Genomic DNA, 13,115 nt, shown 5'->3' with positions numbered 1-13,115 from the left:
TGTTTTTGTCTTAAAATTTTATTTTGCGTTTCTTGAAAACTATAGTATTAAAGGTATTGATACTGTGCAAATGCTGGGCATGCTTGGCATGAGATAATGTGTTTCATTTTTACAAAGTTGTGATATAACTATGCAAGTGTTTCTTAAAAGAACACAAGATTTTAAAAGTTATGGGATTAAAAAAGTTATGGGTTGAAAAAGTTATGGGATAAAAAATGTAAAAACGTTGTGGCAAAAAAACTTGTGGGAACAAAGTAGAAAACAGTATTATGAAAAGTTACCAAAAAAGTTATGAAAAAGAAGTTACGGGATTCTTTTTTAAAAAGTCATGGAATAAAAATAAAAATTAAAAGCAGGCCCCTGTCAGCAAAGCCTGGAGAAGTGGGGCTGGGGTCTCCACCGCCACCATGTCCCTACCACCCCTTCCCAGGCAGCCCTTTACAATGAGGGTAGCAGGACAAGACCTCTGTCTAATGGGGAAAGACAAACAGACCCTTTGCCACCCTGACCAGGGCTGAGTCCCTACATTTCTGGATGATGATGATTGTTATTTAAGAGCCAGAGGCTGGTGGAGTTGGTTTGTTTGGAGGAGGCCTGATGCCCCCCTTACTCTCACCATAGCAACTTTTTCCTCAGGGGGGCTCCCACCTTCTTATTCAGAGAGGCAGGACAGTGGGGCTAACTGTGGACCAGGCGAGGGCACGGGCTGCTGGGGTGGCCCCCGTTCCCCGGTGTACACATTGTGTCTGTGTAAGGTTTTGTATATTCCAGAGGGTAGGGCCACCCCTGTGTCATACCTAGCTGAGGTTGGAGCCGGCACATGGGGAGGAGGTTGTAATAATTATTTGTGGCTGGGAAACTTATTTATTGCTAGCATAGGACAGAGGAAGGAGGCGGGGATGGGGTCATGGCTCCCTGGTGATGCGACTCCTGTTTATTTTGCTTTTTATTTTGGAATAAATGGATTTAGCCATACTGCTCGGCCTGGTGTGTTTCCGTTTCCCTCACTGGGTCCTGGAGTTTGTGCCACCAAACAAGGAGTCCCAGAGTGTCTTGAGCATGTCCAGCTAGGCTGTTGGGGACCTTCCAGGCGTGTTACCTGTATGCTGCCTGGTGGCGCCTGGGGGATTCCAAGGGGACTGCCATGTAGTCTATGGGGCGCAGTCTGGCCCTGACAGCCAACAGGCTCAGAAGCCTGATCTAGCGGTGGCCCGGAAGACAGGTACCAGCACCTAAGGGCACTGACTTCCACCCAGCCCCGGCATCTTCCGTTCTATCCCCTTGTCTCCCTCTCCTGTCTGCACCTGGTGGCCTGTTCTGTCTGTGCCTCCAGAGTGCCGGCTGCCCTGCAGGCTCCCTCTGGGCTGAGTTCATGGCCCTGCCCCCTGGTGGCCAGAGCCGGCTTCACAGGATAAGAGCCCGCTAAGCTCCAGGGGCTTTCCAGGAAAAGTGTCCCTTGGAAAGGGCATGGCCTTTTCACTGCTCCCAACAGCACCCTAGAAATGGCTTGGCCTTTCCCCTCCCCTGAGCTCCACAGAGAACACAGCCAGCAGAGGACACACTTCCCCGCCATCCAGAAGCGGGTTTGATTCTCAGCCAAGGGACAGCAGGACTGGTAGAGACTGTCAGGCCACTCAGCTGCCTGCACAGCACTCCCATGCTTGGTGGGGGGGTGGGGGGCGGGAGGGATGGCGGGGTGTGTCTCTCCATAGGCTGGGCGTGACAGGGAGGCTCACTGAAGGTAGCGCACTTTGGAGGGGCAATGTCAGGGGTTAGCTTTCTCTTGTTTGGCCACAAGACTCCAAAAGGACAGCACGGTGACTGATTCCCAGCGCTAGAGGCGAGGCGGTCGGCCACATGTAGGTGTATGTGTGTGTGTGTGTGTGTGTGTGTGTGTGTGTGTGTGTGTGTATGTATATGGGTATTTGTAGATATTTCTAGAACAGGGCAGGGGCATACCACAGAGGGGGGCACAAGTTTTCAGCAACGGTCACACCTGGATGTGTCAGCTCACCGCAACAATAGACTAAGTCACAGATGAAGGGGGGCTGGCTTTGGGGCTGGGGGAGCCACTGCCAAGTCACAGAACAGCCGCCCAGGCAGGCTTGGAAAGGGAAGTCTCTGAGAAGAGGAGGAATCTGTTTAGAGGTCAAAGGGGGGCCTGGGGCTCTCAGGATGGGATGGACTTGCCTGAGCCGATTGGCTGGCAGTTGGAGAGAAAGCAGAGAGAAGACAGGAGAGAGAAAAGCGAGCATATCATCTCACACCAGTTAGAATGGCAATCATTAAAAAGTCAGGAAACAACAGGTGCTGGAGAGGATGTGGAGAAATAGGAACACTTTTACACTGTTGGTGGGACTGTAAACTAGTTCAACCATTGTGGAAGTCAGTGTGGCGATTCCTCAGGGATCTAGAACTAGAAATACCATTTGACCCAGCCATCCCATTACTGGGTATGTACCCAAAGGACTATAAATCATGCTGCTATAAAGACACATGCACACGTATGTTTATTGCGGCATTATTCACAATAGCAAAGACTTGGAACCAACCCAAATGTCCAACAATGATAGACTGGATTAAGAAAATGTGGCACATATACACCATGGAATACTATGCAGCCATAAAAAATGATGAGTTCATGTCCTTTGCAGGGACATGGATGAAATTGGAAATCATCATTCTCAGTTAACTATCGCAAGAACAAAAAACCAAACACCGCATATTCTCACTCATAGGTGGGAATTGAACAATGAGAGCACATGGACACAGGAAGGGGAACATCACACTCTGGGGACTGTTGTGGGGTGGGGGGAGGGGGGAGGGATAGCATTGGGAGATATACCCAATGCTAGATGACGATTTAGTGGGTGCAGCGCACCAGCATGGCACATGTATACATATGTAACTAACCTGCACATTGTCACATGTACCCTAAAACTTAAAGTATAATAATAATAATAAAAAAAAAGCGAGCAGAGAGCTGGTGAGGCAAGTGCAGAGCACAGGTGTGCCACAGCAGCTGTGGGAGGGCCAAGGAGTAAAGGGTGCACGTGCGGGTGTGGCAAGGTTCCTGGAAAAGAGGGGCTGGAAGGGAAAGGGGAGGAAGACAGAGGGAGGAGCCGGAGTTTCACATGTAGTGCCTGGGGGCTGTGGCAGCCCTCCCCACCCCACACGTGCTGGCCTCTTCCACGGCACCCAGTGCACCCACTGTTAAGACTGATGCTCAGCCCCTTTGGGCTTCCCTCTTCTCTGGTCACCGTGTCTTCCAACCCACTTGTCCAGGGCCACCTCTCGCCTTGGGGAGCCCAAAACAACAGCCACCAGGCCTGATAGAGAAGAAACACTGCTTGAACCAGGATGATGAAGCTAAAAGGGATGGATGGGTGGAGTGATCGCCGGAGCCCCCTCTGGGGGGTCAGAAAGCCCAGGAACCCTTGAAGGGTCCCTGGGGGAGGAAAGGAGGGCATGCAGCTGGATGCCACTGGCTATAGACTTATAAGTCTAAGAGGGGAGCCTCAGCTTGTTGGGGGTTGCAGGTCGGATAGGTGAGGCTGGGCCCTTCCTGCTGGGAAAAGCAGAAGAGGGAGAGTCTATGGCAGGGGAGGTGGGTGGGCTTGTGGGGCGGAGGTCAGCTGGGCCAGCAGGCACTGTGGTCCCCTTGGCTGAATAGCAGAGGTGACCTCTAGGAGCAACACTCCAAGGTGCGTGAGCCTGCTGGCCAGCAATAGTGCTTCAGCGGGGGCCAGGGACCCTGCCTTCAGTCACACGCTAGCAGCTATGATGGTACCTGGGAGGGAGGGAAGGGGCCTGTGTTTCCTGCCTGGCCTGTGAGGTGTGTTGTGGGTTGACCGTGTGTATGGGACTCTCAAGGTTTTATCCTATCTCACCACTGCATTGCCGACAGATAGAGGAGGTGGGACTCTGACTATCACCCCTGCTCTGCAGTGGATTTGGCTCTCAGCACTCCCAGGCTGGGAGCTGGATGCCCTGCCCTGGCAGCATGACTCAGACTGCCCAACAGGTGCGGTGTGCACAGGAGGACTATCCTAGGACTCTGGCCGCCTCAGAGTACAGCCCCACACACCACCCCCTCTAAGCTCTCAGCCCTTACACCATAAACCATGAGCTCTGTGACGGCTCCAGGGAGCACCCATGTCTACCAGCGTGGGCACGGAGCCTGTTCCAAGAGTCCCCAGGCTCAGCCATGGGGGCTGGGGGGCTTTGGGGCCGTGGGAGCCAGCCTTGGTACCTGCATCCGGCAAGGACGCTCTGCACCTGCAGGCAGGAGTTGTCCACGGGCCCCCATGTGCGTGCTGATGGTGGTCGTGTTGATGTTGCCGATGATGCCGAGTGCCTCCTTCAGCACGTGGTACATGCGCAGCATCTCGTCGCGCCACTGTGCCTGCTCTGCCGACTCTTCCATCAGCGTTTTCTGGTCCCCACGTGAGTACAGGTTGGACAGCAGCTCCGAGAAGATGAACTCCTTGGTCTGAGAGCGGGCAAAGAGGGAAGGAGGTTGGGACCTGATGCCTTTGCTGCCCTGGCCTCCTGCCGGGCCCTGCTGGGACTGTGTGCTGGACTTGGAGCCCTGAGTATGGCTTTTCAGACGCGGCTTCTACACCGCTTAGACTCAAAGATCTGCCTCCCCACCACCCTTTTCTCACTCAGATAGGGACACTGAGGTCCAAAGGAAAAGTCACCTGTCCAAGGTCACACATCTGGGAGGGGACCCAGGACCTATCATGCCACCAGGACACCGGTCTACTCAGTTTCTTAAAAATGTTTTTTGGAGATAGGATCTTGCTCTGTCGCTAGGCTGGAGGACAGTGGGCGAGATCACCACTCACTGTAGCCTCAACTTCTTGGGCTCAAAGTGATCCTCCAATGTCAGCCTGTCGAGTAGCTAGGACTATAGGTACGTGCCACCACCAAGCCCAGCTATTTTTAAAATTTTAGTGTAGAGATCAGGTCTCACTATGTTGCCCAAGCTGGTCTCGAACTCCTGGGCTCAAGCTATCCTCTTGCCTTGGCCTCCCAAAGTGCTGGGATTACAGACATGGGCCACTGTCCCCAGTCCCACGTTATATTTCTATGAGACAGCTCTGGTCTGGACTGTGCCTCCCTCCCTGGACCTTGGTCCCATAGGGCTGGTCAGCATCTCCCCCAGGCCAACATGGCCACCTGCATCCCCAGTGCTACAGGAGCCCCCTGCCCCTATGAGGCGGTGCATGCACGTTGTTGATCATGACGTGCATGATGGTCTTGGGCATGACACCAACCATGAGGTCCCACACGGTCTTGTTGACAATGGCCATGTAGGAGTCCACAAGGTTCTGGGTGGTTTCCATTTGCCGCTCCAGCTATGGGTCCATGGAGTGCATGAAGCTGTCGGAGCCATTCTCCTCAGCCTTGCTGTCCTGTCATGGAGAACACAGTGGCATCAGGGTGGCCAGGCCATGCAGCCAGGCTCCAGGAATCCCTAGGATCTCAGCACCTCCAAGGGTACCTGGAACATTGAGGCACAGAGAAAAACAACTGGCGTGAACATGCACCGAGCTCCCCACACGCTCTAGACGGTTTCAGGTATCTGCCTCTCAGGACCCCAGACTCCCCTGATTCAGTCTCCTCTTAGTTCTGACTCTAGTGCCCAGAATCTGCCTCAAGTTACCAATCCAGAAATTGGAAAAAAACATCTCCAGGTCCCCTGTTGGAGACCTGGCCAGAGCTTGTGCCAGGCTGCAGACGCCTGGCAGGGGGCAAGAAAGGGGCATACTCACTTTCCCCTTGTCCTGGGAGGCCCATGCACCAACACTGCCACCGCCGCCGCCACCAGGGAACACGGCAAAGTAGACACACACACAGAGGAAAACGGGAAGGGTTGAGTGAACCTGGGACACTGCACCCCAACTTTAATGTGTTGTAGAATTCAGTTAGCTAATATTTTATTGAGGATTTTTGCATCAATATTCATCAGTGATATTGGCCTGTAGTTTTCTTTTTTGGTCTGTGTGTTTGATTTTGTTATCAGGGTAATGCTAGCCCTGTAGAATGAGTTTGCAAGTATTCCCTCCTTCTCTATTTTTGGAATCGTTTGGGTAAGGTTGGTATTAGTTCTTCTTTAAATGTTTGCTAGAATTCAGCAGTGAATCATCAGGTCCCAGGCTTTTCTTTGCTGGGAGACTTTTTATTACCACTTTGATCCCATTATTTGTTATTGGTTTGTTCAGGTTTTGGGTTTCATCATGGTTCAATCTTGGTAGGTTAGATGTGTCTGGAAATTTATCCATTTTTGGTAGGTTTTCCTATTTATTTGCACATAGTTGCTGACCACTAGTGATCCTTTGAGGTTTTTTTTCTTTTTTTTTTTTTATATGGAGTCTTGGTCTGTCGCCCAGGCTGGAGTGCAGTGGCGCGCTCTCAGCTCACTGCAAGCTCTGCCTCCCGGTTTCACGCCATTCTCCTCCCTCAGCCTCCCAAGTAGCTGGGACTACAGGCGTCCGCCACCACGCCCTGCTAATTTTTTGTATTTTTTTCGTAGAGACGGGGTTTTACCGTGTTAGCCAGGATAGTCTTATCTCCTGACCTCCTGATCCACCCGCCTTAGCCTCCCAAAGTGGTGGGATTACAGGCGTGAGCCACGCCCCCTTGGGACAGGGACACACACACACACACATAGACACACACACACACACACACACACACACACACACACACACAGAGTTGGTGGTTGTGCCGCCCAGTCGCGAGTGTGAGGAAGGGACCAGATCGGTCGGGCAGAAAGGTGCTGGGTCAAGAGAGGAGGGGGCAGCCGGTAGCGCGGGCACGCCGGGTGCGCGCGGGGCGCGCCGGGTTGAGGGGTGAGGGGTGAGGGGTAAGAGGTGAGGGGCGACGAGGACCGGGGCGGGGTAGGGGCAGCCCTTTCCCAGGCGGTAGCGGGGGCAGTGGTGCTGTTGCCCTTTTAAACTGCGGCTTGACGGGAGCCGCGCCTCCTGTCGGTGGAGTCGGTTATAAAGGGAGCAGCCCCGCAGGCCGCCACATAGCTCCCGCCAAGTCCTCGGTGCCCCTTGCCATTTTCCAGCCGCGCTCCCACGAGGGTCACGGCGGCGGGGAGAGGTGGAGCCGCGAGAGCTCGGCCGGGGGCCCCGCCTGGTGGTCGCGGCCATGACAGCGGCTCGGGACAGGCTCCTTTTCCGCGCCCCTCCCGCCGGAGGTGAGGGGAAGATGTCCATGTCCGGGTTCAAGGCCAAACCGAAGTTACTGGCCTCTATCTTCCAGGAGAACCAGGAGCCACAGCCGCGGCTCACGCCCCACCGCAACATTAAGGTGAGTCGCCGGGTGGCGGCCTGGCGGGGCAGGGCGAGGGCGGAAAGCGGGTGCCCAGAGTCCCAGGAGAAAGGGGAAGCTGCCCCAGAGAGGCCGCGGTTCCCCGCCCCTTTCTCCCGCAACTGGCCCGCCCGGCAAGGCAGAGGCTTGGGTGGGAGAAGGCGGAGGGCGCGTCTCTCCAACTCCTAGCGCGGGGCTGGCTTGGGGGCTGCTGGCCCCTCTCGGCCCCTGTCGCTGCGCCTCGAGGTGGGAGCCCGCGGCTGCGGGAGCCCTCTTGGGACCCATGGTCGCCCTCAGTCAGCCCACCTGCTCTAGGGACCGCGACAGGGCGGGGCAGGGCGGCTCCCGCGTTGTTGGAGCCCAGGCGGGGAAGGGGAAAGGCCTTTAAGATTTTCGGTTTTTTGGCCGGGCGTAGTGGCTCACGCCTGTAATCCCAGCATTTTGGGAGGCCAACCGGGCTGATCACTTGAGGTCAGGAGTTGGAGACCAGCCTGGCCAACATGGTGAAACCCGTCTCTACTAAAAAATAGAAAAATTAGCCGGTCGTGTTGGCAGGCGACTTAATCCCAGCTATTTGGGAGGCAGAGGCAGGAGAATCGTTTGAACCCGGGAGGCGGAGGTTACAGTGAGCTGAGATCGAGCCATTGCACTCAAACCTGGGGGAGAAGAGCGAGACTTCTCTCTCTCTCTCTCAAAAAAAAGTTTTCTTTCTTTTTTTCTTTTTGTTGAGACAGAGTCTCACTCACTCTGTCGCCCAGGCTGGAGTGCAGTGGCGCGATCTCGGCTTACTGCAGCCTACCTCTCTTGACAGTCCACTGGTTAAAGCGATTCTCCTGCGTCAGCCTCCCGAGTAGCTGAGATTACAGGCGCCCGCCACCACGCCTGGCTAACTTTTGTGTTTTTAGTAGAGACGGATTTTTTAGTAGAGACGCGGTTTCACCATGTTAGCCAGCATGGTCTTGATCTCCTGACCTCATGATCCACCCGCCTCAGCCTCCCAAAGTGCTGGGATTACAGGCGTCAGCCACCGCGCCCGGCCTCTGTTTTGTTTTATACATGTAATATATTCACAAGTATCTTTACGAAGTGATTTTGATACTCTTTTGTCTTCTGCCTAGAATCTCTTTGTTCTGTAATAATTTTTTCTTAGTTTATATTGATCTTATTTTCCTTTTTAAAGCCTTTCCTTACATATCTATTCTATGTTGCTTATCATTTGTAGTTTTTTTTATTATTTATTTATTTATTTATTTATTTATTTATTTTGAGAGGGAGTCTCGCTCTGTTACCCAGGCTGGAGTGCAGTGGTGCAATCTGGGCTCACTGCAAGCTCCGCCTCCCAGGTTCACGCCATTCTCCTGCCTCAGCCTCCTGAGTAGCTGGGACTACAGGCGCCAGCCACCACGCCCCAACAATTTTTTGTATTTTTTAGTAGAGACGGGGTTTCACCGTGTTAGCCAGGATGGTCTCGATCTCCTGACCTCATGATCTGGCCACCTTGGCCTCCCAAAGTGCTGGGATTACAGGCGTGAGCCACCGTGCCCAGCCCTGATTCTATATTATAGTGAGTTGTACAATTATTTCATTATATGTTACAATGTAATAATAATAGAAATAAAATGCACAATAAATGTAATGTCCTTGAATCATCCCAAAATCATCTCCCCCAACCTTGTCTGTGGAAAAATTGTCTTCTGCAAAACTGGCTCCTGATGCCAAAAAGTTTGGGGACTGCTGGCATAAGTGGTCTCATATAGTAGTTGTCCTTTTGTGCCTGGCTTATTTCACTTAGCATAATGTCTTTAACGTTCATCCATGTTGTAGCATGTGCCAGAATTTCATTTGTTTTTAAGGCTGAATAATATTCCCTTGTATGTATTTAATATGCCTTTTTATCTTTTCCTCTGTTGATGAATACTTGGGTTGCATCCACCTATTGGCTATTGTGAATAGTTTTGCATTGCCTGTCTTTCTCATGATCGCCATCCTATTTCACATCTAGCAGGTGTGAAATTCCATTGATTGAGTGATTGATTGAGACAGGGTCTGACTCTGTCGCCCAGTCTGGAGTGCAGTGGCATGATCTTGGCTCACTGCAACCTCCATCTCCCAGGCTCAAGCAATTCTTCTGCCTCAGCCTTCCGAGTAGCTGGGATTATAGGCATGCACCACTACCAGCTGGCTAATTTTTGTATTTTTAGTAGAGACGGGGTTTCACCATGTTGGCCAGGCTGGTCTCGAACTCCTGACCTGAAATGATCCACCTGTCTCCGCCTCCCAAAGTATTTGGATTACATGTGTGAGCCACTGCGCCCAGCTAGTAGGTGTGAATTTCTATGTCTTAGTGGTTTTGATTTGCATTTACCTGATGGCAAATGATGTTGAGTATCTTTTCATGTGTTTATTGGCCATTTGTCTGTTTTTTTTGGGGAAATACTTATTCCAAAATTTAACTTATTTTTAATTGGGTTATGTATCTCTTTATTATTTATCTGTAAGAATTTTTTACATATTCTAGATAGGAGTTATAACAACTTTCTTCCTTTTTCTGGATTGTCTTTTTTCTTTCTTGATGGTGTCCTTTGAAGCAGAAAGATTTTAAATTTTGATATAGTCCAATTTATCTTTTTTCATTTGTGTTTTTTTGCTCCTTGTGCTTTTGGTGTAATATCTAAAAAAACGTTGCTACTCCAAGGTCACAAAGGTTTCTGCCTATGTTTTTTTCTATGAGTTTTATAGTTTATCAATATCTCTTATATTGAGCTCTTTTATCCATTTGAATTAATTTTTGCATGCGGCATGAAGTAGGGGGGTATAGCTTCATTGTTTTGCACCTAGACATCCAGTTATCTCAGAACTATCTGTTGAAAAGCTTATTCTTTCCCCATTGAATTGTCTTGGAACGCTTATTGAAGATCAATTGACTGTATATGTGAAAGTTTATTTCTGGATTCTATTCTTTTCTCTGTTCATCTGTCCTTATACCAGTAGCACACTCTTGATTACTGTAGCTGTTTAGTAAGCTTTGAAATCAGAAAGTATGAATCCTCCAGAAAGTTTTTTAAGGTGGGTTTGGCTGTTCTGGGTCACTTGCATTTCCATATGAATTTTAAGATCAGCTTGTCAGTTTCTGCAAAGGAGCCAGCTGAGATTTTAATCACAGTCGCATTGAATATGTAGATCAACTTAGAAAGTACTGCCATTTTAACAATATTAAGTTTTCCTCCACGAACACAGGATGTATTTGTACTTATTTAGGTCTTCCTTTAATTTCTTTCAATCGTAGTTGTGTTGAATGCAGACCTACTTTGAATTAATTCTAAGTAATTTTTATGCTACTTATTGGTTGACAAATATAATTGCTTTTAGTTTTTAACTGTAGTTTTGATGTAATGTGAACTGTATTTGGACCTTGTGAAGCTTATTTCTGCTTTGAAATTTAGTATAAATTGGTTATAATAAAATCTGACTGTGCTAATTTTTTGGTTATGTGAAATAGAAAATCAATGTAAATTTAAAAATTTATTCTGGGCCGGGCGCAGTGGCTCACACCTGTAATCCAAGCACTGTGGGAGGCTGAGGAGGGCAGATCACAAGGTCAGGAGATCAAGACCATCTTGGCTAACACAGTGAAAGCCCATCTGTACTAAAAATACAAAAAATTAGCCGGGTGTGGTGGTGGGCACCTGTAGTCCCAGCTACTTGAGAGGCTGAGGCAGGAGAATGGTGTGAACCTGGGAGGCGGAGGTTGCGGTGAGCTGAGATCGCACCACTGCACTCCAGCCTGGGCGACAGAGTTAGACTCCGTCTCAAAAAAAAAAAAAAAAAAAATTCATTCTGAAATGCGATAGATGTTGAAGCTCTTCTGGCAGATGGTTATAAAGAGGAATATATAATCATTCTATTGAGAAAATATAATCAATAATGTGAATACCTAAGGTAGTTTATTTTACATATATATCTCGGTATTTATTTATTTTTGAGACAGAGCCTCACTCCTGTCACCCAGGGTGGAGTGGAGTGGCACGATCATGGCTCATTGCAGCCTCAACTTCTTGGGCTTAGGTGCTTATCTCATCTCATCGCAGCCACCTGAGTAGCTGCGACTACAGGTGTGCGCCACCATGCATGGCTAATTTTTTGTATTTTTAGTAGAGGTTTCCCCATGTTGTCCAGGCTGGTCTGAAACTCCTGGACTCAAGTGATCTGCCCGCCTCGGCCTCCCAAAGAGCTGGGATTACAGGTGTGAGCCACTGTGTTGGCCTTATGTTTTATAATTTTTAAATGATACTTTTTATTCTATTACAAAACATATATAATTGTAAAAAACTTGTAAAATATAAAAGAGGACAAAGACAATAGAAAAATTATTTACAATATAATTCCCAAGTAAACACTGATTACCTTTTTTTTTTTTTTAGAGCCTGTTGCTCAGGCTGGAGTGCAGTGGCACCATCATAGTTCACTGTAACCTCATACATCTCATACATTTTGATATTACTACTTCTGGTTTTATACATAATGTGTTCACTTTGAAGCAAGAGAGTATAATTTTATAACGATTATTTTCATTTAATGATCATGATCTCATTGCAATTATTGATCATTTAGTTTATTCCTGAACATTTTGTTTTATATATTTTTGCTATTGTGAGTGGGATATTTGTTATAACTTGGCATTTGTGCCTACACTCAATTTACCTATAGGAAACTAATTTTTGCATACAATTGTTTTAATTGGTGCAGTGGCACAATCTCAACTCACTGCAACCTCCGCCTCCCAGGTTCAGGTGATTCTCCTGCCTCAGCCTCCTGAGTAGCTGGGATTACAGGCACATGCCACCACACCCAGCTAATTTTTGTATTTTTAGTAGAGACAGTGTTTCACCATGTTGGTCAGGCTGGTCTTGAACTCCTGACCTCGTGATCCACCCGCCTCGGCCTCCCAAATTGCTGGGATTACAGGCTTGAGCCACCGTGCCCGGCCTCGGCCTCTTTGTGTGTTTTCGTATATCTTTCATCTGAGTTGCAAGGGGCACCTTGGGTTTCCAGGAATTTTCTTAGCTAACTCTGTTCCTTTATCTATGACCCTTCCTCACTAGTTTTGGATAATTTATTTTCCTTCTTCCTTACTTCACTGATTTACTTTTCTATTTTATTTAGTTTGCTAGTCATTGTTTCTTTTAAGGTTCTTAAGCATAAATCCTTTTTTTTTTTCTGATGGGAAATACTGGGGCATAGCACTAGGAATACAAATTATGTTTAAATAGAGCACAAAGAACCATCTCAAAGGAATAACTGATGGTGAATGTCTGGTGATTGATTTTATTATGTATCATCTCTAATGAGGCTTAATAAATAATTGAGGTTTAACACTTAGGTAACCGGTCTGTATTTAAGTCTGAAAATTTTTGTATGTTACAGTTTCAACTTCACATTGAATATTCTGTAAAGCAGAAATAAATTGATCAGCATTCTATGAATGAAAAATAAAGCCATGGGTCGGGTGCAGTGGCTCACACCTATAATCCCAGCACTTTGGGAGGCCGAGGCAGGTGGATCACCTGAGGCCAGGAGTTTGAGACCAGCCTGGCCAACATGGTGAAACCTTGTCCCAGCTACTGGAGAGGCTGAGGCAGGAGAATGACTTTAACCCAGGAGACAGAGGTTGTGGTGAGCTGAGATCGCGCCACTGCACTCTAGCCTGGTGACAGAGCAAGACTCTGTCTCAAAAAAAAAAAAAAAAAAAAAAAAAATTAGCTGGGCATGGTGGTGCACACCCGTAATTC

At 48.8% G+C, this 13,115-nt stretch overlaps 2 pseudogenes across 1 annotated transcript in view, besides 1 other annotated feature; one reads left to right on the top strand and one right to left on the bottom strand.

Moving 5' to 3' along the window:
• Positions 122 to 13,115: part of a non allelic homologous recombination region, noted in NCBI's record as "15q13.2-13.3 gamma inversion distal recombination region, recombines with the 15q13.2-13.3 gamma inversion proximal recombination region", that runs on past the window's edge. NCBI's record gives the evidence for it as "EXISTENCE:nucleotide sequencing assay evidence [ECO:0000219][PMID:25326701]".
• DNM1P32 (dynamin 1 pseudogene 32) lies at positions 1,971 to 5,418 on the bottom strand (annotated as a pseudogene).
• Positions 6,865 to 13,115, top strand: part of ULK4P1 (ULK4 pseudogene 1) — a 28,439-nt pseudogene continuing 22,188 nt past the window's right edge. Inside the window, exons 1-2 of the transcript NR_026858.1 lie at positions 6,865 to 6,881; positions 7,279 to 7,326. The product of NR_026858.1 is annotated as a ULK4 pseudogene 1 (transcript). The remainder of the gene's footprint in view (positions 6,882 to 7,278; positions 7,327 to 13,115) is intronic.

Source organism: Homo sapiens, chromosome 15 (genome assembly GCF_000001405.40).
Source record: "Homo sapiens chromosome 15, GRCh38.p14 Primary Assembly".
Taxonomy (NCBI): Eukaryota; Metazoa; Chordata; class Mammalia; order Primates; family Hominidae; genus Homo; species Homo sapiens.
This window is presented reverse-complemented; position numbering and strand designations above follow the sequence as displayed.